This window comes from Homo sapiens, chromosome 11 (assembly GCF_000001405.40).
Source record: "Homo sapiens chromosome 11, GRCh38.p14 Primary Assembly".
Classification (NCBI taxonomy): domain Eukaryota; kingdom Metazoa; phylum Chordata; class Mammalia; order Primates; family Hominidae; genus Homo; species Homo sapiens.
In genome coordinates this window covers 100,333,426-100,359,085 of record NC_000011.10, presented here as the reverse complement: position 1 = coordinate 100,359,085, position 25,660 = coordinate 100,333,426, and the positions used below count along the sequence as shown (strand labels likewise).

Below are 25,660 nucleotides of genomic sequence, written 5' to 3'. Positions count from 1 at the left end.
TCATTTCTTGTTTTATTTTTTGATATAGCTTCAAATTTTCAAGTTGGGACTACCGTGGACATTTCTGGAGATTTTTGAACCTCAAATCATAACAGCATAACATAATGATATTTCAGTGTTAAAATCAGACTGTAATCGTTGGCATTCTGTGGTCTGCATAAAATAAATAATGTCATTCATATAGTTGACAGGAGAGAAGATAAAAGTCAATAAAAAGAGAATTATTTATTAAAAAGATCTAATGTTACAAGAACAGTACACAGAACTATTATTTGACTGTGCCTTCCACACGGTATATGCCTTATATATAGTATATATACAGATCGTACACAATATATTTAACAGTTTGACATGGGGTCCACAGTACCTTCATTTGGGTATGCAAAACTTTTGCTTTCATGAAATTTCTAATTATAAGGACTGTTGCTTTCTTCATATTCAATGGACATTATACAAAAATACAGTCTCTTTAGTGATTTAAGACTGTGGTTACTATCCCATAGCAGAAAAAACTCAGTACTGTAGCTGAAAAATAATGTACCTTGATAAGAATGCTCTTCTGGTTTCTACAAAGTAACAGATATGCAGCACATAAGTACATAAACATTGAAAACCTGTTTTTTAAATAGGTTTATGATGCAAAATACATATTCTGTGTATGTTAAGTAAAAACATTCCATATCTCTGATTCCTGTAAGAATACATCAGACATTCTATATGTGTAAATACTCTGTCAGATACGTACCATCCATCAGCTAATTAAAAATATTGGTTAATTTAAATTTGCCATTTTATTTGTTTAATATTTTACTGGGCTTTGCTTTCTGAGAGTGTAAGTAAGAAGTTGATTCTTAAAGTCCTTCACTAAATCTGGTGTACACCACCATGGAAAATGAAGAAAATGGCTTGATTCATGAAATACGTAAAATTATTTTGCATTAAAAATATTCTTTCTGTCTTTTATTCAGATGCACAATTCATAAAGGTAAACTATACTTGGGAGAGCTCATGTTTTGCCAGCTAAACAATTAGCATCCCTGTTTTTGCAAAGTCCAGCCTCTCCCACTTTAAAGGAGGCGTTCAAGAAAGGCCACTTGGTCATAATTACTTACTTACAGGCTTAAATACTTACCATCTGTAGTATTTACTATAATATCATTGAGTGAGTCTTTTAACTAATTTCTTGTTTGTTTAGGGTGTCTTACATCATTTCCCCAAAGAGAATATGTAACCTACATACAGACTTTTACTGTGGCTCTGAAACTATTCTTTCAGGATGTTCAGAACAGAAACTTCAATCACTTCTCTGATTCTACAAGGATTAACCTTGAGAGCTAGCAATTTGAGCTCCATATTGTTTCATTTTGCTTGTTATTAATGAAGCAAATACAGTTAACAAGTTTAAATTATATAAAATTATAAAACCAATTTTTGTTCTCTTGTTAACATCGCCTATAAAACCATAGTTTCTCCAGGCTCTTCTCTGGCATATGACTTTGCAATAACTATCCTTTCACGCATCTTCATGGGTATGATGCCAACTCTGGCACATTCTTGTGCTTGTTAGAACTTCTTTAAGATATCATCAAGTAGAAAATTTTCATCTCATTTTCCAACAACTCTCTAGGATCTCTCAGGCTCAAGATGACTCTTTGAAATAGCAAATAAGGATTACTTCCCAAGCCACAGAATCAAACAGTGCATAGCTGGCTAGACTAGCTGAATCCCTGTACTGATGCCATGTTTCCACAGCTTAATTAAAAATTCAATTTATCCAAGAAAGACTGTCTTTATTTTACTAGTTGATTTTATCAGTGGTATGTGATGCATGGAACTGTTTTTAAAAATCAAAACTTATTTGTTATACTTGAACCATTTTAATCTACAGACTATGCATAATTATTTGCACAACAAATTTTCATTGCCCTTAAAATTTTTGCAAAATTTTGCAATTAGAAGAAAACCTTGGACCTAATTCAACATCTGTTTTGGCAGTAGGTAAAGAAATGGAAACGCTCTGTCCCATATTCATCTCATTTTTAAGTTAGCACCCATGCCAGCATGTCTGCAGTTTTTAGTGATCATATTTTTTGGTGATGTTAAACCATCTTTTGTTATTAAAAATAAATATTTATTATATTTGCTGCTAGATAACATAGTACTTTATGAAAAACTATAGCACTGAAATTCATCTGGACTCGCTTTCTATCTTGCACTAATGTAAATGGCTTATTCCCTACCCTAATGACTTGCTCTAGGGGTGCATATAGAATAGCATATTGACAAATCTTGCTATTTCACTATGCAATCATACAATATTTTTCAAGAAAATTTTTGTGTACTTATCTTATAATGGACCACATCACTGAAGCATTTTTCATATGTCCTGCTGGTTTGTCAATTGAAATATTCAGCCAAAGGGAAAATGAAAAACACTGGACTTAGTCTTAAGCAAACTTTTCATTCTCATTTTTGTATTTGTTTTTGAAACAGATCTGCTAAAGGCCAGTTACTTAACAAATGGATGGCACACACTCGGAGTCATCAGATATAAAATAAAATCCCAACATATTAAAAAAGTAAAGAATACATTTGACAGAAATTACCTTTGTTTACAAAAATTCATTACATACAATCTGCATATTTTTACTGGACTAAGAACTGTCCTCTCCGTTTACAAAAACCAAAGAGAAACCTGATGGATAAGTAATATTTCCCCCCTAACCTCCTGTAAGTTCACCATGTATAGTCCCAAGTTTTTAAAGCTCAAGCTCATCTCAGGATCCTGGTTCTCCACTTACACTACACTCTATTCACCGCTGTTACCAAGCTAAAGCAAACAAAAGCAAATTAAGTCAGCAGTTTTCACCAGGAAGTTGAAGGAATCATCAATGCCAAGAGCAAGGTGACTGATGACGAAGATGTGGAGAGAGAGTGAAGGGTCGACTGTGCACTTGTGATTTTTCCACCTGTGAAAAAAGAAGCATCAAATGGAGCAAATTATCTTGGTTTTGCTTGAGCTAGGACAGAATTGTTTTTAGTATGTAAGACTAATGAGTGCAAGATCGCTCCTGTTTCTGATGAGAGTGTTCTTTATATTTATAAAATCAGACATTATCTGAGGTTCCCAAAGTTATATAGAAGGGACAAGTATATATGAGATATTGTATTGAAAAGGTGATGTCATGTCTAACAAACACATCCAATCATGAGATTTAATTTTCACCAATGATGAAAGTATTCCAAATTCAGATATAAAAAATAAAATAATTTTGATAGTGCATAGTTCAGAAAATGGAGCAAAAATTACAAAATTTGTGGCAATATGAATTCATAATTTACAGTCATGAGCTGCATAATGACATTTCAGTCCACCATGGACTACATATCTGATGGTGGCCCCCTGAGATTATTATGGAACTGAAAAATTCCTATTGCCTAGTAATGTTGTAGCCATTAGAATGTTGTAATGCAATATGTTACTCACGTATTTGTGGTGATGCTGGTGTAAACAAACCTGTTCTGCTAGTTGTATAAACGTATAATGTACAGTACTTAATTGATAATGGTAACAAATGACTGTTATTTGGCTTATGTATTTACTATTCTTTTAGTAATTATTTTAGTGTACTCCTACTTACAGAATAACAGTTAACTGTAAAACAACTTCAGGCATGTCCTTCAGAAGGGCTTCCAGAAGGCGGCATTATTATCACAAGAGATGATAGCTCTATGTGTATGATTGCCCCTGTAGACCCTCTAGTGAGACAGGATGTGGAGATGGAAGACTGATATTGATGATCCTGACCTAGGCCTAAGCCTATGCTAATGTGGATGTTTGTGACTTAGTTTCTAACAAAACAGTTTAAAAAGCAAACAAAATAAAATAAAAAATATTAAAAAGTTTATAGAATACAGATATAAAGAAAATGTTTTTTTAATCTGTATTATGTATGTTTTAAGTGTTATTACAAAAGAGATAAAATTTAAAGTTTATAAAGTAAAACAGTTACAGTAAGCTAAGTTTATTAGAGAAAAAATTGTTTTTATAAATGTAATATAGCCTAAGTATACAGTTATAAAGTCTATGACAGTGTACAATAAAGTCATAGGCCTTCACATTCACTTGGCAATCACTCAGTGACTCACCCAGAACTTCCAGCCCTGCAAGCTCTGTTCCTGTTAACTGCCCTGTAGAGGTATACCATTTTTTTATCTTTTATACTGACTATATCTTTACTGTAATTTTTCTATGTTCAGATACACAAATAGCACTGTGTTACAATTACCTACAGTATTCAGTACAGTATCATGTTGTGTATGTCTACAGCCTAGGAGCAATAGGCTATACCATATGCCTTAGGTGTATAGTAAGCTATACCATCTAAGTTTGTGTAAGCATACTCTATGATGTTCACACAATGAAATTGCTGAAGGATGCATTTAATAGAACTTATCCTCATCATTAAGAAATACATGACTATGCTTACTCTAGTAAATTTTAAAATCTAATAACATTATTTTATTTACTGAATTTATTTATGTGTTCTTGATTATTTCAGTTGAGTGAGCTTAAATTCTAGGTTCTCATGCCAAACCTGGCAAAAAATGGTGATCTTTCGTCACTCTTTCTTATACCCAGGAGAGGATCTTTTATGAGACAAAAACATTGTATGCAGCTAATATATTAGAATCGCTGTTGGATTAAACTGACTGATCCAAGGTTGATTGGTCTGAAGTAGTTTTAATAGCCCTACATAACCACAAACTAAGTGACTTTTAGATACTAACATCAGGAGTGGTTCTTCAAGCCAGAAGTCTTCTGAAGCATCATGATCATAATTGATTATTTAATAAATGATTATTGTATGTCACATACTGTACGAAGCTTTTTATATATGTTATCTTATTTGATCCTCATAACATTCCTATATGGTAAATACAATTATTTATTCTCCTCTTGCAGGTGGAACTGGGGCTTAGAAAGGCTGTAAACTTGCTTAGAGTAATTGAGGTAGGAATTAGTGGATTTAGATACTCGTGTATTATCTCTCTTAAAACAATGATTGGCCTTAGTTAAAACCCTAATAATAATACTATAATCTACTACCCAATTGCTGGAATCTTCTGTCAAGGTAATCCTCTCTGGCTAGACTGAGTGTAATGGGATTTGGGGGGGTAGTTTTAGTTGCAAAGATAGAGTCTGAATTTATTTTCCTGATGCTTAAGAGCTAGAGAATAATTTGTTTGGTAAACACACACATGGGCGTGCACACACACACACACAAATGCAAAAAGCGTAAATCTTTCCTTTGAAAAATTTTACAGCTAATACACTACTAGAACTTATCAATCAACATATTGGAGAATGATGCATATATTTCAACTTGTACAAAATGGGGTTATTGTGAAGCACATAGCCACTTGTGAGCTATAAGAAAGGCGAGATGACAAAGACTCACTGGAGTCGTATGTGCATGCTTAATAAATAAAAAACAAGAACACATCCTTTCTAGCTATTGGGAATGGCTGCATCTTTGTTAAATCAACTTACCTGACACTTTTATAAAAATATCTCACTTTCAGAATGCTAAGTAGGGTCTGTGTCTCAAATTTCAAATAGAATCTACAAAGCTAAAACATATTACTTTCATACAGCAAAACAACCCCACAAAACAACAGAAAGAGCAACATTAGACTAAGTTCTTGCCCCAGCTATAAAACTAACTAGCTGTTTCACTTGGGCAAGTCATTCAATATCTTAGGCATTTGGTTTTTGCAATATGATAAAAATGAAACCAATCATGACTCAGGTTCTGAGTCTAAGGTAGACAATAGTGTAAGAGTTTCCCATACTGAAACTCAGGAAGTGGGTTGCACTGCCCAAATTTTATTAACTGAAATATAAAAGTTGACAATTTTTTTCTTGGAGTAGAAGTTACAATTTAAAATATAAATGGGAGAATTAAGGTTGTCATAAGTACTTCCAAGGTTGAGGCTGATCTTATTCAGATAATACTATAGAATCTGATTGTGTTGGAGTTGAAAGTAACCTTAGAGAGTCAGAGAAGAATAAAATACCTAACCCAAAGGATTGCTAGAAAGATAAAATAATATATAGAAAACACCTAGTTTAATCCCAGGAACGTGATGAGGCCTCAGTAAATGCTCACTGTATTGTTGTCTAGGAATCTGACGTGCTGAAGCAAGAGGAAGGTTGTCGTATATTTTGCTTTTCAGGAAATAGTCTTTTAAGATGCTCTTGAAAATTCAGCCTTCATCTGAACAGTTCAATTGTGAAATAATTAATGCAGAGACATTATAACTTTTCTTGTTGTTAAAACTATACTTTTATAAATGAACCATAAAGCATATTAAATTTTTGTGTGACCACAATAAAATTTAAATTCTTAGATCTTTTCACCAGAATTTCTGAAAAAGTCAGATTTCTCCCATCTTATGTTTTGTATTTTTAACTATTCATTTAAAAATACTTTTAGGTGTACTGAAAAGTTGTGAGACTAAGGAATTCACCCAGATTCCTTAAATGTTGACAGTTTATCATTCTTGCTTTATTGTTATTTCTGTACATATATACATTTTTTTGAAACATTTGAAATGAATTGCAGATAGCAGATATGATGCATCTTTTCCTCAAAATATTTTAATGTATAGTTCCTAAAAATAAGGCTTTTAAAAATATAACCACAGTATAGTTTTTTAAAAAAATGAAATGAATGTTGATGTAATATCTAATTTACAGGTATGCAAATCTTATCAATTATCAATAATGTTCCTTATCCTGTATTTTCATGTGAGAACTTATCAAGTATTGTAAGTGGCAGCTAAATTATGAGAACACATGGACATATAGAGGGGACCAGTACACGCTAGGGCCTATCAGAGGGTGGAGGTTGGGAGGAGGGAGAGGATCAGGAAAAATAACTAATGGGTACTAGGCTTAATACCTGGGTGATGAAATAATCTGAACAACAAAACCCCATGACACAAGTTTAAGTTTACCTGTGTAACAAACCTGCACATGTACCCCTGAACTTAAAAAGTTAAAAAAATTATCAAGTATTATGTCAGTAGCTTTTCCTCAAAGTTCCAGTCTGTCTCATTCTTTTCTACACTGTATTTATCTCCCATTTCACTTGGTGGCATAAAAAAAAAAATCACAAGCAATGCCTCTGGTCTGACTTCAAGTTGATAAATACGTTAAATAACATAGGGCCACATACAGAGCATGACGGGACACTTCCCTGTAGGTTGATAATTCTGCTTGGCAATGATTGCTCAACAAATGATGTTCCTAATTACCCACTAATTGTACATGAGAAAATGTTTCATAATGTTCTCATAAAATTGTCTAATACTTTTAAAATTAGAAATTTGCCTAATTTTTGCTTTTTTTTTTTTTTTTTTACTATCTCTACGAAATGGTTGCTTTCTTCTAAATTTCTAAAATCTTGCTTCCTTTAATCAGTTTTCCCTTGCTTATGTAATAATGATGGTGGTGATGGAGATATGTGGTTTTGGAGACAATCATACGCAGGTTTTGATCCTGGTTCCGAAACTTAGTAATAGTGTGGTCTTAGGCAAGTTACTTAAATGTTTTCTGCAAAACAGTAAAAATGTCACCTATCTCATATGATTGTTACTAAACTTAGATGATGTATGTAAAGCACTTTTGACCATGCCTGACATATAATAAGGGTCAGTGAAAGCTAGCAATTATTAATATTGTTAATAATAATGTACAATAAAATTTATAATTTGTTTAGAAATCAATAAATATGGTCACATTTCAATTTTAAAAGCTTCTCTTTAAATTCCTTATTGTCTAACAATAAAGGCAATCAAAACTACAGAAATGTAGGTATGTCAAAACCAGTGTAATATCAGTTTAAAAGCTATACTCCAAAAACCAAATGGCTAGCAAGGTACTGCTTGAGACCAGGAGAGGCAAGGACATTTCACAAATCAGTATATTCTAATGAAAATGTCAACTCCTTTCTAGATTTGTAGAAATTCTGCAATTGTGAGCAGATTACTATGGTTCATATTAATCAGAAGATAATATAAAAATCAGAGAGGAGAAATCCCTCAAAATCTCTGAACCATGAAATCTATCACATCAATTTTCGTGACTTTCATACCATCTCGTAATTGTTGGTTGTCAGCAAATTAAATCTACTGTGTCAAAACTTACCTGAATATGATGGTACCCTAATTTGAGAACTAGCTGTTCCATCTCCTCCTTCACTATATGCTCGAACTTCAATAATATAGACTCCAGCATCTGGGAGTGGTACTACTGCTTGAAGTTTCTGTGTTTCAATAACTTGGCTGTTGCTGTGACCCTCTTGCCTATAAAAAACCTGAGAGTAATAACAAGGTTTAGACATTTGATATGAAAGATTACAAATGCACATTGACTGCCTACTATGTGTCACATTCTGAGATAAGCACAAGGAGCTTACAGTTTAGACAGATACATAAGCAAATGTAATACATGTGCAGTCTACTGCAGTAGAAGTACACAAAAGGGCCATGGAGGTACAGGAGAGAGTTTAATTTTGTCTAGGGGTTTAGTGAAGGACTTCCAGAGGAAGTGATGTCTGAACTACATACTTAAATATGATAGAGTGGACCAGTTTGAGAAAGGGAGAATTCCAGAAAGAGGTAAGATAAAATTAATAACTACATCTAAGCAATAAGAAACAATGGCATGAGAGCAGGGAATGGAGAGGGGATATATGGGAATAGTGAGGAATGAGGCTAGAGAAGTAGGTAGAGAGGAGGCAGATCATGGAGAGTCTGTTATGCTTGGTTATTGAAATATCCTAAGGAAGTTTGGAAAGCTCATCTTCAAATAGTTTGAAAGGAGTAAACAAAATTTGTTAAACATACCAATAATAAATCCTTAACAATGTAGGAAACAGTTGAAAGTGAAAATTTTATTTTTTTAATTTTTGCTTTTGTAGTGGTTTGCTTTTTGGTAAAATCGGCATTTGGATACATGGTGTAGCAAAGCTAAAGCTTTTTAGACATCTGTTGTGGTATTATAATTAAACATACATGCACGGAAAACAATTTTGGAACTGCAAATCAGGACACAGGATAATCCTGGGTTTACATATTAGAAAATGAAGGCCATAAAGGTTAGGTGACTTGTACAAGACCGTGTGGCTAGTTAGGGTAGAAATCTCATCAGAAGATTTATATTTGATCATCACTTCAGAGCTATTTTACTATATTGTACTATTACTTGCCTCCAAAAATAGTCAAGTAAAATTTTTGGTATAATAGTCAAGTAGTGGCAGTTAAGATGTGTTTAAATGTGTTTTTATTCAGAGTCACTGTTTTTTGTGCTTTTTCATAATTGGTATTATAAGTGTACAATGGAAAGAAAAATGGCTTTGTATTCATACAGATCTGGATATGAAACAGTTTCCTACAAAACATAGCAAAAGAAAACAAAATCTCCTATACCTTCCTGGCTGGGAAAATTTGGGCAAGTTACTAAATTTTGTAAACTTCAATTTATTCTACTGTATGATAGAGATGATAATAACAATTTTAGTGTTTTAGGGGAGTAAAATGAGAAAGCGCCTGTAGAATACCTAGCACAGGACCTGGTGTATGATAAGCTTAAAAAGAGAAAGCTACTCCTTCTGTTGCCATCATTGTTTATTAACTGTTAAAGGGTTGGTATTTCAAGTGCATCATAAAATATGAACTGACTTGGGAAATTAGATAATTATTGACATATATTTTCTTACAGAAAATGTGTTTTGAGCTTGAATTAACTTACATACAAAAAAATCCAAAAATACTTTAGAGAAGCAATATTTCCACATATTGAAGCCTGCGTGTACTTGAACCCTCTGAATTCTAGTAATAAATGCTCCCTCCATTTCACTTTCTTTTTTTTCATTTAATTTTAAATCTACTTCATGTTCTTGGGAGGGAAGTGAATTCTCCATTTAATTATGATGTGCAACAATTTTATCTATGGAAATCCTTATTGTGAAGGATGCTATAGCCTCAGTGTAAATGCAAGGTGATAACAGCATTATCAAACATTTATTGGACATCTCATGCAGGCCAGGCATAGTACTACATACCGGAGATTCATCAGAGAATAAGACCACATGGTTACAGTCTTCCTGGCATTTATAGTCTAATATTGAAGACAGACAGACAATGCAAAGAAGTGTGATATGCACTGCAGCGGGAAATATATTTGATGCTATGGTAATGCACAAAGTGGGTACTTAGTCAAGATTGGGGAAATCAGGAACACTTCCTGGAGGATGCCTTAAGCAGCTTCTTTTGTCTTAAAATGTGACAAATATATCTGTATGCTTTTGATTTCGTCTGGAGCATCGTGATGAATTAGAATTCTGATCATCCATGTGAGGTAATTAGAAAGCAAATTTATGGGAATGGGAAAGTATGTAAATTGGTGAGGATTGGCAGGGGAGTGATTATTTTAGAGGACAGTGTTATTATGGTTCAATAAATTACATTTCTTATGACAAAGAAAAATACATCCAGCAATGCATATCTAATGTTCTAGAGTTGAAGAAAAATTTGTGGATCAGTTGAGATTTAGGATTAAGAGGTAAAGACGGGGAAAAAATCAGTTAGTGGTGTCAAAACGAGTTTGAGATTAAGTGTGGCCTTTTGCCAATATATCCAGGGAGATGGAGTGCTATACATATATGTAGATCTACTAAGTAAAAAGATACATTAAATTAATAGTTAATCTTCAGTGCTTTAGAGAATGTTGGCTCATTTTAAAATCCTGATTTAGAAAAGATGCATGAGAATGAGAACTATGAGAAGGTTAAGAAGTTATCAAGACATAGAAAAAAATAGTTATTGACAGTAAGGAGTCCAGAGAGTTCTTAGAGAATATGGACATTTATAGATTGACAGTTGCAATGACAGCTATGTTTATGCATAAAGAAAATTGTCTAATGTATTGTCAAGACTATTCTCAAATTTTGGTATTAAAAAAAAAACTGAGAGCAGTGGGTTATCTAAAGAGATGATCCTAAATAGAAAGTGATTGTGGTATTGCTATTCTCAAAGGCATGATCTGAAAATGGCTATTCTATATGTTTGATGGTAGTAGAATATTGAGGAGAGTGTGCTAAAAATATGACAGAATAAATTTTTGCTGGTTATACCCAAACTACTCCTGAGAGGGATGGCTCATATTAAAGGAAAGGCCTATTCCTCTGCTGAGCATCTTCGGAAGAATTGATGGGTACAACTGCTCTTCATAAAAAGGGTGAGGAATCTAAAGCCTCGGTGACAATGGGATGGGAAGGAAGGAGTCAGTAAGACAATGGAAGTTAGATGAATAGAAGTTGGGAGACACAGTATCAGTGAGAATTCACTGCCTGCAGGGTGTCTGAACACAATTTTAACAACAAGATTTCTTTTTGGGCATGTTGCAGATGTTTGCTTGCATGTTGTTCCTTTCTAACTCTATCTCCCCAGCATTTCCAAAAAGTCAGCTTCATATATATACTGCATGTGACATGAGCCATTTCTATTTCAATTATTAAAAATTCTGAGAAATTTCAGGCATAAATGAATGTAAAGAGGATACTATAATGAACCTCATGTACCTATCTTCCAGCTTAAGTCATTATATGTGAGTCTTTTTAATTTGTGGAAACAGAGAAAAGAAGGCTGAGTCTCCTATTTAGAGTGAATATAAGATGAAGGAGGAGCTACAAAATAAAAGAAATCAGAGGCTAGAGTGGCTATAGACTATACAGTTCCCAAGAAGCTAGAGAAATACAGGGATGGGCTTCAAAGTTCTAGTGGGTATGTAAAACAGTATCAACCCAAGTGTACATATATCTCAGGAATCTGGAATCTCAACTGATATCTAAGTTGCATAAACAAATGAGAACCTCTGTTTGTATTTGATATGGTTTGGCTGTGTTCTCACCCATATCTCTTCTTGAATTGTAGTTCCCACAATGCCCACATGTTATGGGAGGGACCTGGTGGGAGGTAACTGAATCATGGGGACAGGTCTTTCCCGTGCTATTCTCATGATAGTGAGTAAGTCTCATGAGATCTGATGGTTTTATAAAGGGGAGTTTCCCTGCACAAGTTCTCTTCTCTTGTCTGCTGCCATGTGAGACGTTCCTTTCACCTTCCGCCGTGATCGTGAGGCCTCTCCAGCCACGTGGAACTGTGAGTCCATTAAAACTCTTTCTTTTACAAATTGCTCAGTCTCAGGAATGACTTTATTAGCAATGTGAAAATGGACTATTACGGTATTGATGGACTGTATAATAACTAGTAAACTTTGGGCCTGATTTCCTTCTATTTGCCCTAGCTCTGTTAACAGGTAGAAAGTAGATATGGGTGAGGGGAGATATTTGGTGAAGGGGTTGTATATCTAGGAAAGGCTATTTTCTAGATACAGATTTGAAAACTAATAGTTTTTGCTTGGATTATAGCCTGAGGTCCTGAATTCTTTCTGACTGCTTGTGTCTTTTCTGAAGGGATAACAGTTTTTGTTTGTGGGGAAGGGGACATTTGCTGAAGTGAAAGCATAGCCCCTGAACATTGAGTTTTATTTTCCCTTTCACTCAAGCATAAGTCTGTGTGAAGAAAATAAGGTGGAGATAAAATGGTTGTTTTTACTTTATAACCTGGGTAAATTACTTTCATCGTGTAAAGAAAAATATTTTCCATTTTTGAGATCATTAAAAATTATGGCTGAATATACTTTAGTCAATAAGCTTTTTTGGCATTTCTTTAGTAACACCAGTAATGGTGAGTCTTACGTGCTATAATTAGTAAGGATTCTAGATAGAGACCCCAAATTATAGGAGTTGTAAAAATAAAATTTTATTTGTTTAAAAACATTTATTTGAAAAAATAAGTCAAGGTAAGAAAACTTTGATTTGAAGTTTTTGTTTCATTTTCCCAATCATTTATATATAATGTATTAATAAAATAGGCAGTTGATTCTGAATTGGGGAATGTAAATACAACAAAATAAAGTGGCACATGTTTATTGACCTGAAGAAAAGTCATAAATATGCTAAATAAATTACCAAATTGGATTCAGCTTCTCAAATGGAAAGTTATTTTGAGTGGAAATTATTTGTATTATTATTTGGTATAACAGACAATCCTTTCCAACATCTTGCTGGTTCTCTATGCTTTTAGTCCTTACTTGTTAGTGAAAACTATGATATCTTGAAATTATTACTATTAAATCTGGATTTCTTAAACAAAATTCCAAGAAGCCCAGCATCTCATAGACAATCTCAAAAAAAAATCAGTGGAAAGTTTCACCACTAGGTACTGCTTAATGTTCACCTAAATGAATTCAGTTTTAATGTGTTACCTATTGTGCAATTATATGTGGTTCAATTCCATCTATCTTTCATGATATTCTTGGTCACTTTGAAGGCCCTGACAAGATTTTGTGATAGGGAAACCTCTTTTTTTTTTTTAATATCTGTTAGCAAAATTTCTGTTATCATCTTTCTCTAGTAATATCTGCTAGTTATATATGTTGCTGACACCTCAATGTCTGAAATCGAGTAAGAAAGTAAGATCTATGCTGCTATGGTTTTAATGTGTCCCCTGCAGAATTCAGGTGTTGCCAGTGTGATAGTATTAAGAGGTGGGGCCCTTAACAGGTGATTGTATCACAAGGACTTCTCCTTTCATGAGTATGATCAATGCCCTTATAAAAGAGGCTTCTCGTGGTTGTTGGCCCTTTTGCACTTCCGCCTTCTGCCAAGTGAGGACACGGTGTTCCTCCCCTCTTGAGGATACTGCTTTCAAGTCACCATTGTGGAAACCAAAAGTGGACCCTCATCAGACACAGAATTTGCTGGAGCCTTGATCTTGGGCATCTCAGCCTTCAGAACTGAGAGAAGTAAATTTTTGTTTTTTATAAATAACCCAGTCCCAGATATCTGTTATAACAGCGCAAAAGGACTAAGACAGTGCTTTCTTGGACAATGGGGAGCTCAAATGTCAAATTCTGCTGTTTTATCTTGTGCTATTTCTATAGTTTACTTTTCAAGATTACAATTACTTTATTAATATAAGCTTTAAAATTTTATAATGTACTGATATATTTTTTATAGTGTTCTTATTATATTCCATGGAAAATGGCAAAATAAATTTTAAAATTCCTAGAGGTATTAATGCACATTTATCTGCCTGAAAGGAGTTCAACTACTAAAGATTAAAGGACAATGTATTATTCCTTTATATCATTTACTTTTTAAATTTTTTATTGATACATAATAGATGTATATATTTTCAGGGTAATATGATAATTTGATACATGTGTATGATGTGTAAAGATCAAATCAGGGTAATTGGGTTATCCATTACCTTAAATATTTATCATTGTTTATGCTAAGAACACTCAAATTATTCTCATCTAGCTATTTTGAAGTGTACAATAGATTATTAACTATAGTCACCCTTCTGATCTATCAAACACCAGATCTTATTTCTTCTATCTTATAGTATATTTGTACCCATGGATTAAGCTCTCTTTGTTCCTCACTCTCCTTTCCCCTTCCTGGCCTCTGATAACCACCAGTCTCTATCTTTATGAGATCCAGTTTCTAGTGCACTTTTTCAGAATGTCTATCCTGTATATAGCAGCTTAACTATACAAAAGAATCATTTATTACATTATTTATGCACTGAATATATGGGGAAAATATCTACTTTTTCCTCTGCATTTATTATGTTTCAATAACTTTCACAACCTAGAAGTCTCCCAGATAAATACTTTTCTGAATTCTTCAATCTTAAACTGGACTTAATGTAAAAGGTGGAATATATATTCCCTGCATTTTAAACCTCAGGCATTAATCCCAAGTTCTCAGCCTCAAACCTCCACACAATATGCATTTCCAGTGATCCTTTCTGCTTGCAAAAGTGAAGTAGTTTGCAAAGACAAAGAGTGAAAATTAAGTGACCTCCCTTTTTAATATTCCAATTAAGTATGGAAACTCTCCCTTTCCCCGATGAGCAAGAAGTTTTCTGCTTCAAATGTTCCAAGAATCCTAGGGGCAAGTTCAGTTTTAATGGGTCAAGCCCGCCTCAAACTACCTTGTGGGAAGAGAAATGATTAGTGTCCTGTGTCCCTATTTTATTAATTTTTGTAAGTGACACACATTGTGCTTAAGAAGAGGTGGCCCGCTATTATAGTGGTGCCACTCTTGGTTGGCAGTAATTTTTGGGATGTAGTAGGAATCAAAAGGATTCTCCTTCTGAGTATCATGCCCAGCCCTGGTCATTCTATATTAGTGTGCACCTTCAGATGGTACAGTTCTTTCACTGCTGTGTGGGGATCCTTGCCAAGGGTGCAGTAGCTGTCTTCAACGTCATACTCAGAAGACGGGCTCCAAGCTTGTGTTCTCTGGGTTATAGCTCTTTAGTTTATATTCTCAGCTATTATTTCTAAATATATATTCCTGTCCCATTGTGTCAGGAGGAGCTTTCATCCTTGGCTGCCCTGTGAAAACCCGCGTTCTGAGGAGAATCCAAACTCTGGGTTAAGCCCAGTCCAGTCTGAAGTCCCCTTTCCCTCAGGAAGCCTTTCCTGTCAGCAGTTCTCTCAGTGGGGATCATCCCACTCATCAGAAAGGTTCCGATAAGGTTTAGTTGCAAAGGAGAAGGTTTTGAGGTCTCACTCCATTTGTTATCAGCAGACTCCTTTTATACGAATCAATTCTTCCTTCTCAGGGATATAAGGAAGTGCAACCATTTCAAGAAAATAAAAGGAAAAAAATATCTTTTGCAATGTGTGCCTACTTGTCATTAATTTACACAACTAAAATGGACTATGCTAGTGATTCTTCCCTCAGCAACAAGGTATTCCAACATGACTTGTGATATCTTTATTAAGAGGGAACTGGCAGGCAACTTTTAACGATCAGTTTCTTTGTTAAAATTTTAAAAATTGTACCTAATGAGACATGCTCCTCCAACAACACTAAGAAATGGTATCTGTTTTTTAATGAGAACATTTTATATGCCAAGCATTTTATACAAATTATTCTTTAGAAAATCCTGTATAATATGTATTATTATTGCTATTTCTGCCATTTGTGAAGTTAAGAAAATAAAACTGATAAAGTTTAAACAACTTACTTAAATTACTCAACTAGGATTTGAACTAAAATCTGTCTGAATCAGTGGCCAGTGATATTTTTTCCTCTAAGCAACAACAAATGGCAAGGTTATGCTAGAAAAAAATACATATTTGATAATACACATATATAAATAACTGCATAAGACATTTCTATCTGGGCCAACGTTAGTCATCCATTCTAGAAACATTAGGAACAAGAAATAAGTAAGATAAAGTCCTTGCCTTTGAGGACTTCAGTCTGTTTGGGGAGACAGTCATATATAAAAAGTAAGAACAATGACTGGGAAAGAGGTGTCAAATGTGAACAAAGAGTAGTGGCACCTAGCCTGGGATCCCTACACCCAAGCTCAATAGAGTATTTTTCTAGTTATATAGTATTTCTCTATTCTCACTTGAAAGGTACCTAAACCATATGAGCCTTCCACTTGACCATACACGTTTATCTGGTTTTCTCTTGCATTCTACTTTGCCTCTCCAGTTTGGGATATTGTTCATCATAGTTCTAATGATATTAGATTGGTTCCTGAATGGTCTATCATATTTCTCGCCTGCTATCCCTAAGCATTAAACAGTATATTTCCCTAAGAGGAGAAGTTGTGAGGATATGGTCTTTTGGGGAAGGGTATGGAAAGAGGAGTAAGGGAATGGTATAGAAAATGACCCATCTGCACTCCCTGCAAAAGATCAAATTCAATATTCCCGACCATTACTGATGGACTTGTGTGTGTGTGTGTGTGTGTGTGTGTGTGTCTGTGATCTATCCTAATTACAGTAGGTAACAAATGCTAGTTTGTGTAATATAATATTAATGGAAATTAAAATATTCCATTTATAACTTCTTCAGTTTTTAGCTCCTTAAATTTTAGCATTTTATGTACTGAATACTGTGTTACCATCTCTGATAGTTGAAAACCCACCTATAATGATAGCTTTCAGTTGAAATATTATCACTGAAATATTTTAAAATATTATACTTAATATATTTTATTATATTAAAAATATTGTGAATATTCAACTAATGATTCTGTGTGAAGTTTAATGCAACAAACAGAATCTGACATTATAGAACAAGAATTTGAAATTAAGCCAATTCAATACATAGATCACATATATTTAAAAATCAGATAACAAAGTTATTTTTCAAAAACAAATTGCACATGTTATCAAATTTCCAGATCTTACTGTCACAGAACAGAATGACTGTATGTGAATGTTGGCTCTGTTTTGGAGCTTGCTGTGTCTCTCCCTGGATTTTTTGTTTTCTTTCTAGTGTTCTAGCCCTTACATTTTTTTTGTTCTTCTGTTTCCTTGCTAATAGAAAGACTTTCCACTAAAACGAAATGGTCCCATATTTGTCAGCTGCCAGCAAAGTTAGTCTCCTGGAAGAATATGCCAGAATTCTCTGCCTAAATTCTGCTGGTCCTAATATCATGCTTCACAGAGTCATCTTCACACTACATTCAGATTGTCGCTACTTTTCCTACTCCTTCCCTTTCTGTGCCTTGTGCAGTTGAAACTAATTTTGACTGCCTTGGCTTCTCTATCTATAGGAAGGCTATCTTTCTAAGATACAGATAGAAAATGACTGAGAAAAAATAGGTTGGTTAATGGGTCTTTTTATGCCTTATTAATTTTCCATCTTCATAATAACAATTTCGGAGATGAGTATCTATGCAAAAGAGTGAAGAAATACTGACCTTGTAACCCACAACTTCAGATTCGTTGGCTAATGGTATGACGGGTTCCCAGCCCAGAGAAACCTGAGAGCCTTGCTGCTCCCACCTGAGGTTGCTAGGTGCTTGACTAGGAGCTGCAAAATAAAAAGTGAAAGTGAACTGACAAGGATTCTTAAATACATTTCTTCATTTAATTCTTTGTGAGTATCTCAATCTTTTCTCCTGCTTAGTAGTTGGCTGGCAATCTAGGCTTCCTTCCAGCTGGAGTCAGATAAGGAGGGTTTTGCTCCAGGAGTGTCATTTTAATAGCTACTCTGCTGAGCTTTTGAACTTGAATTCTTTTATCTCCCTTCTGTGTCAAAATCGCTTAGCCTTGTTTCACAGGAAGATAACCTTTGTCTACTCTGAATGCAGAATTTTCTGAGCTAGTTTGAGGATTCAGATCTAAGCACTGAAGCAAGACTATGAATCAAAACTCCCCTTTGACTCTGCTTATTATGCACCTCACGTGGCTTTGAGAAATGTTATACGATGTTTCCCCTTTGTCTGAAACAAACAAAAAGCCCAGGTCACTTACGGGATTTCTTGGTGGTTGCACTCACTTCACTGCTAGGTGGCCCATATCCAGCTCCATTGTAAGCCCTCACTGTGAAGTGATATAACGTATTTCCTTCTAATCCTGTTAGGATGACGAAAGACTCATTCCCTCTAGTTTTGACTGTTTCTGCTGTATCTTCCTGTTCCATGTCTTTCCAGTAACCAACCTATCAACAAATTATCACATGGCAGGTTAATTTTAAAGCTTCCTCTGTGCTTGTGGCTGCTTGAACTTTTTCTCTTTTTTGGATGTTGCTGGAGTCCACCCATAGGAAGAAATCACTCCTATATCACCCAATTAACAGGTCTTACTAATAAGGCCAAAACACATTCCTAATCACTGTCTGCTTTGCATCTGTGTAAATTGCAGCACTACAGCAGTACTCAGCAAAACAACAAAACCTGCTACTTTGTAGCCTGGTGGCCTGAAGGAGTGAAAATGCATCCTGACATTAAAGAAGAATCATTCAAAGAAATTGGAGTGCTTTTCTCTCATAGGTCATCAGAACAATTTACCATTCAAAACCATGAAACTTCAAATGAATTATCTGAGTATGTGGCATCTGAGTATTTCCTCTTGAGCTTCACATAAAGATGAATCACACGAGCTGTATCAGTTTAATGGAGAAGAGGTGGTAGAACACTGGATACTCTGGAATGGTTTGAATGTAGAGAAACAGCATTGTCAGGATCTGGGGGTAGGGAGGGTGGAGGGAGGCAGAAAGGAACAGCTTTCTGTCAAAGCCCTTTTTATGCATTGAGATCATCTTTCCTCGTTAGGAGCTTATGGTAACTGGCTTCAGCAAACTCCATCCCTTTGTGAGATCAATGACTGTCCCACAATTAAGCTAAAGATTTACTCTGTTTAGGCACTAGAACTTAACTACATATCAGTGCAACAAAGAGTAGCTTTCTCCCATCTACTTCCTTACTGTTGATAGAGGAAGGAGGCAGAGAAATTCTAGGCAGACAGAAATGGGTCCCCAGTGAAACTGCACCTTCAAGCTGAGAAGCCTGAAACCCATGGCCTGAAGTGAGCACTTCTATTCCTTTTTTGCCCATTCTCTCCTTATTTGTTCTTTCTGAATAATGCCTTTTTACCAATTGAATCTTGCCTTTTTCAAAACTACCTATGGCCCACCCCCACCGTCCTGTGCAGAGAAACATCCCACTATCAGTCAGAAGCGATGAGAGAGGGCTGCACTTCAGAGGAGAGATAGCCTAACTTTAGGGAAGGCAACCTGCCCTTCCCATCCCCTTTCCAGCTCCCTTCTCCACTGAGAGCCATTTTCATTGCTCAGTAAAATTTTCCACCTTCCCCATCATTCAGTTCATCCATATGACCTCATTCTTCTTGGACACCAGACAAGAGCTCGGGACCCACCGAGTGCAGGTACCCAGATAGTCTGTCACACCAGCCCTTTGCCCTTGCCAGTGGAGGGTAGTTGCCCCATGTGATGAGGCAAGGGGTCAACTGAGCTGCTAACACACAGCTGTCCATGGATGGCAGAACTAAGAGAATGCTGTAACCCATCCTCTGGGGTTTCAGGGTCACAGGCACCCTGACCTGGGCACTGCCGCAGGCCCTGCACAGAGCTTGCTCCTGTCAGTTGAGCTGCTAACACACAGCCATCCATGGACAGTGGAGGTAAGACAGCACTGTAACACTCCCTCTGGGGTTCCAGGGTTACAGACACTCTCACCTGGGAACCAGTGCAGGCCCCACACAGAGCTTGCTTCTGTCAGCTGAGCTGCTAACACACAGCTGTCCGGGGACAGCAGAGCTAAGAGAGCACTGTTAACATTCCCTCTGGGGCTTAGGGGTCACAGGCACCTAGCACCACCTGGGCACTGCCATGGGTCCCACATGGAGATTTTTCCTGCCAGCAGCTGAACTGGCTGGCAGGATCTTACATTTATCCACATGTGCCTGTTCTGGCTGTGGGCCCCACATGGAGCTTGTTCATGTGCTCCCTCCCACAAAGGCTTGAATGCGGCAGGCCGAGTAAATGGGGTCACTCCTGTCACAAGTCTGATGAAGGGGCCGAGAAAAATCCTGCATTACTGCGGCGAAGGTCATAAGAGAGTAATTCTTTTTTTTTCCCCCAACTTAATTACTGTGGTGGAAATAGTAGATTACTGCACCCATTTCATCCTCCTTCATGTTTTGTGTACTGTGGAGTCTAGAAAGCCAAAAACATATTTTCCAGATTCTCTTTCAGCTAAGGGTGCTAAGGGTGCTGCTATACTCTGTGGCCAGTGAGAAGTTTAATTGGAATTTGGAGACATTCTGGAACATGTCTAGGATTGCCTCTTCCAGTGGTGACCATAGGAAGCCATTATAGGCTCTGATCTCAAGAATGAACATTTTAACTACCACGACATATTAAGAACCTTAACCAACCTCAGTGCTGGCTGAAAGCAAAAGGAACAAGAAATGGAAGGAGGAAGAAGGAAGTTACAAATTGCAACTACACCTTTATGAAGTGAGGACCACAGTAATTAGCCACATTTTCTTCCTCGTCTTTTGTATGTTTTTATAAATGTTAAATTACTTTAGCCTCTTCATTTCTTCTGATATTTTATATGGAGCGTGTTATTGGTAGGTAACTTTCTGATGTAGTTCCCTAGAGAAGGGGCAAGGTTTCACGATGACTGGGACAAATTGACTTATGGGACTTTCTTTGGTTCTCCCTGTTGTGGAGAGCATGAGCATGTTTTCATTTATAAAAGAGTTATTTGCATTATGTTAGTATGAAACAAGCTTATTTGTAACTTCCTCAAGCAATTCCACCTGGGATTGTATCCCTGTCAATTGCCCATCTCCCTCTGAGCTTCAAACAAAACAGAAGAGCAGTAAGTTTCAAAAGGATGTCGGTGGAGACCTTTTATAGATGAAACTGACTTCTAGAAGCCACCTGGCTAAACATATGCACAGCTGGAGAAAACAGATTGTGAAGCTAGGTCCAGCTGTAAAAAATCTCAGGTACCCAATTAGTTCCCGTTATTCTGCATCTGTGGATTTAAAATGATCATCCTCCACAGTAGAATAGACGTGCCCCTCATTGCTCAGAAAATCCACAGCTTGCTTGACTGGGGATACAGACATGCGTTTGAGCTGGTTCTTGAGATCCTGAAAGTTCAGTCCCTCAGGTCTTGGGTAAGACTTAATCACATTCAACACCTGATTTTGGGCCACAGGGAGGCTGCTTCACTCTTCCCTGGATTGCTGATAGGTGCTCTCTCTGCTGAGGGCTGGCTGTTCGCTTTGTGATCATGTGTGCATCGATCACTTCCAGAATATGTATGGTGAACTCATTCATATCCTCCAGGAGCATGATTTATAAAGGCTACCAGGCTCTTTTTGTTCTGAAAAGATCTCAGGTGGCCTGCCACTTTCACATATGTTTCTGGAGGAACTACAGTGTTTTCACTGCTGGTGTCATCTGTGTCAACCCACTGGTGAACATTCATGGGTGCAGCTGTCATGTCATCTATTTTGTAAACAATGTTGGTTGAAGTCTTCTCTGCATGTCTGATGATCCCTACAAGAGTGATTTGTGAAATCTCAGCATTGCCAATTTTGAACACTTCATCAATCAAAGTGGCAGAAAGCAGCTGAGATGTGTGTGGGTTCAATGTGCTGTGCTCTGGCTCTTGATTTCTTTTCTGCCTAAGAAGGTGCCCGCGATCCAAAGCCTACCGGGGACTGCATGTATTCACCGGCTGCCCTATGAGTTGCTGCTATAGCTTTCAAATCCACTGTTCCACATCTAGATTGTGATTCTCTGGGGAAGAGGCCGGGAAGGTTAGGGTCTGGGGAAGTCGCAGAACACCTCAGAATCCGGAGGCTGCCGTACCGCTCTAGCTACTTTTCTCTCCTTTAGTGATTCTTAAGCTGGAATTGAGGTTACACAATATTCACAAGTCACATGCACTTTCTAAGGTTGAAACTTCTCTTTATTTAGTTTGTTTCCTCAGATGTAGATTTCAACAGCTCATGAACTTTGAACTCTCTATGTAAAATCACTTGAAACCAAATTAAAGTCATTAAAAAGATATCAATAATTAAAATTAGAGCACAGACAGCTTATCATTTTAATATCTTCATACAATTATTTTCTTTGTGTATCACTTCCTATTTTATGTATTTAAAATAATTATACTTTTTATGTCCTGCTTTCATTCTCTTATATAGAAATATTTTCTTATTTTAAAAATAACATTGTATCATATGCCTATGTACCACATATTATTTAACCATGGTCCTACTGTAAAACATTTGGATAGCTTCTAATTATTGCTCTTTTAATTAAAATGCTGCCGTGCAAATATTCATATTGCTCCTTTAATTAAAATGCTGCCATGGAAATCTTCATATACCCTGTTTTCCACATATTAGATTAATTTCCCAGAATAGACCCCAGAAAGAAGATTATGGGTTCCAAAGTTGTAAAGCCAGAAGGTCTATATGTGAATTTTACTTTTGGTATTTTAAGCCACATATAATGGGACAAGTTAGTTCACCAGTGAATCTCTGCATCTTTATTTATATAACAGAGAAAATAGTACTTCTCTTAGGTTTGTGAATGATTTTTAGAGAGCTCCCCTGCTGTTCAACTGCTTGAGCCATTGTTTCTTGATATTTTAATATTTCTGATTTTTATTATTTGTAAGTATATGTTTTTTAATCCTTCATATTATTTTGGTTTTCTGATTTTTGTCTCTCAAATATTATTTTTATTTAAAATTATAATGTACATAATATTAGTGGCAGACAGGAAGTATGAATTCTGACTCATATAATACCTGTAGGAGAGTATAGAGACAAACCTAAATAAAGAGAATGGCTTTTTTTTTTTGAGATGGAGTCTCACGCTATTGCCCAGGCTGGAGTGTAATTGCATAATCTCAGCTCACTGCAACCTCCAGCTCCTGGGTTCAAGCGATTCTCCTGCTTCAGCCTCCCAAGTAGCTGGGATTACAGGTGCCTACCACCACGCCTGGCTAATTTTTGTATTTTTAATAGAGACGAGGTTTCACCATGTTGGCCGGGCTGGTCTTAAACTCCTGACCTCAAGTGATCCACCTGCCTCGGCTTCCCAAAGTGCTGGACAGGCGTGAGCCACCGTGCCTGACCAAGGATGGTTCTTCTTAGTAGACACTCTATTTTTCCCAAAGCTGATTCTCCAAGATAATGATTATTTTAACTGTGCAGGTAGTGTATTTGATTTTCTGGTGTGACGATTCTATGATATTCATGTCATGCACAATGCAGTTTCCTTACATGAAGTTATAAAATCTAAAACTCATGAGTTCTGCCATATGCAGCTGTTGATTACTGGGTGAGTTGTGAACTTTCCCCTACTTTTACATTTTCATTCAGTCATATAAAACCATTGAGTAGTTCTTCCTAATATTTTGTCTTTGCTTGTCCAATTTTTCACACTTGTTAAAATTTTTTTTGGAGCCATTTTAGAGTCACAGCAAAATTGAAAGGAAGGTACAGAGATCTCCTGAATCTCCCTGCCCACTACACATGCGCAGCCTCCCATGTTATCAAAATCCTTCACCAGAATAGTACATTTGCTATAATGGATGAATGTACAACAACACATCATCTTATCAACCTTTTTTTTTTTTTTTTACTTATCAAGTTTTAAAAAAAAATTGTCTAATTTTTAGTTTTCCATTTTTTTTATTTCAACAGGTTTTTGGGGAACCAGTGCTGTTTGATTATATAGATAGGTTCTTTAGTGGTGATTTCTGAGATTTTGGTGCACCTATCACCCAAGCAGTGTATACTGCACCCAATGCGAGAACTTTTATCCCTTGCCACCCATTACCATTCCTCCTGAATCCCCAAAGTCTAACATGTCATTCTTATAACTTTGCATCTTCATAGCTTAGTTCGTATATGAGTGAGAACATACAATTTTTGGTTTTCCATTCCTGAGTTACTTCACTTAGAATAATAGTCTCCATTTCCACCCAGGTTGCTGTGAAGCCATTATTTCATTCTTTTTTTTAATATGGCTGAGCAGGATTCCATGGTGTATATACCACATTTTCTTTATCCACTCATTGATTGATGAACATTTGGGCTCGTTCCATATTTTTGCAATCTCAAATTGTGCTGCTATAAACGTGTGTGCAAGTATCTTTTTCGTATAACGACTTCTTTTCCTCTGGGTAGATACCTAGTAGTGGGATAGCTGGATCAAATGGTAGATCTACTTTTAGTCCTTTAAGGAATCTCCACACTGTTTTCCATAGTGGTTGTACTAGTTTACATTCCCACCAACAGTGTAAAAGTGTAACTTTTTCACCACATCCACGCCAACATCTATTATTTTTTGATTTTTTCATTATGGTCATTGTTGCAGGAGTGAGGTGGTATCTCTTTGTGGTTTTGATTTGTATTTCCCTGATCATTAGTGATGTTGAGCATTTTTCCATATGTTTGTTGGCAGTTTGCATATCTTCTTTTGAGAATTGTTTATTCATGTTCTTTGCCCACTTTTTGATGGGATCGTTTATTTTCTTCTTGCTGACTTGAGTTCTCTGTAGATTCTGATATTAGTCCTTTGTTGGATGTATAGACTGTGAAGATTCTCTCCCACTCTGTGGGTTGTCTGTTAACTCTGCTGATTATTTCTATCGCTGTGCAGAAGCTTTTTAGTTTAATTAAGTCCCATCTATTTATCTTTGTTTTTGTTGCATTTGCTTTTGGTTTCTTGGTCATGAAGTATTTGCCTAAGCTGATGTCTAGAAGGGTTTTTCTGAGGTGATAGTCTAGAATCTTTATGGTTTCAGGTCTTAGATTTAAGTCTTTGATCCATCTTGAGTTGATTTTTGTATAAGGTGAGAGATGAGGATCCAGTTTCATTTTCAACATGTGGCTAGCCAATTATCCCAGCACCATTTGTTGAAATGGGTGTCCTTTCCCACTTTATGTTTTTGTTTGATTTGTCAAAGATCAGTTGGCTGTAAGTATTTGGCTTTATTTCTGGGTTCTCTATTCTGTTCCAATGGGCTATGTGCCTATTTTTATATCAGTACCATGCTGTTTTGGTGATGATGGCCTTATAGAATAGTTTGAAGTCAGGCAAATGTGATGCCTCCAGATTTGTTCTTGTTGCTTAGTCTTGCTTTGGCTACATGGGCTCTTTTTCGGTTCCATGTGGATTTTAGGTGTTTTTTT

General features: G+C 36.1%; 1 protein-coding gene and 1 pseudogene across 6 annotated transcripts in view; both read right to left on the bottom strand.

Annotated features, from left to right (window-relative positions):
* Window positions 201–25,660, bottom strand: part of CNTN5 (contactin 5) — a 1,337,937-nt gene continuing 1,312,477 nt past the window's right edge. For all 6 annotated transcript variants that reach the window (XM_017017926.2, NM_014361.4, XM_011542871.2 and 3 more), the window contains 4 exons: window positions 18,437–18,623; window positions 17,881–17,993; window positions 8,216–8,384; window positions 201–2,969 (listed from right to left, as the gene is read on the bottom strand). In XM_017017926.2, the coding sequence (XP_016873415.1) occupies window positions 2,866–2,969; window positions 8,216–8,384; window positions 17,881–17,993; window positions 18,437–18,623 (573 nt within the window). In that variant the 3' untranslated portion in view covers window positions 201–2,865. The remainder of the gene's footprint in view (window positions 2,970–8,215; window positions 8,385–17,880; window positions 17,994–18,436; window positions 18,624–25,660) is intronic.
* On the bottom strand, window positions 21,212–22,336 carry RPA2P3 (replication protein A2 pseudogene 3; annotated as a pseudogene).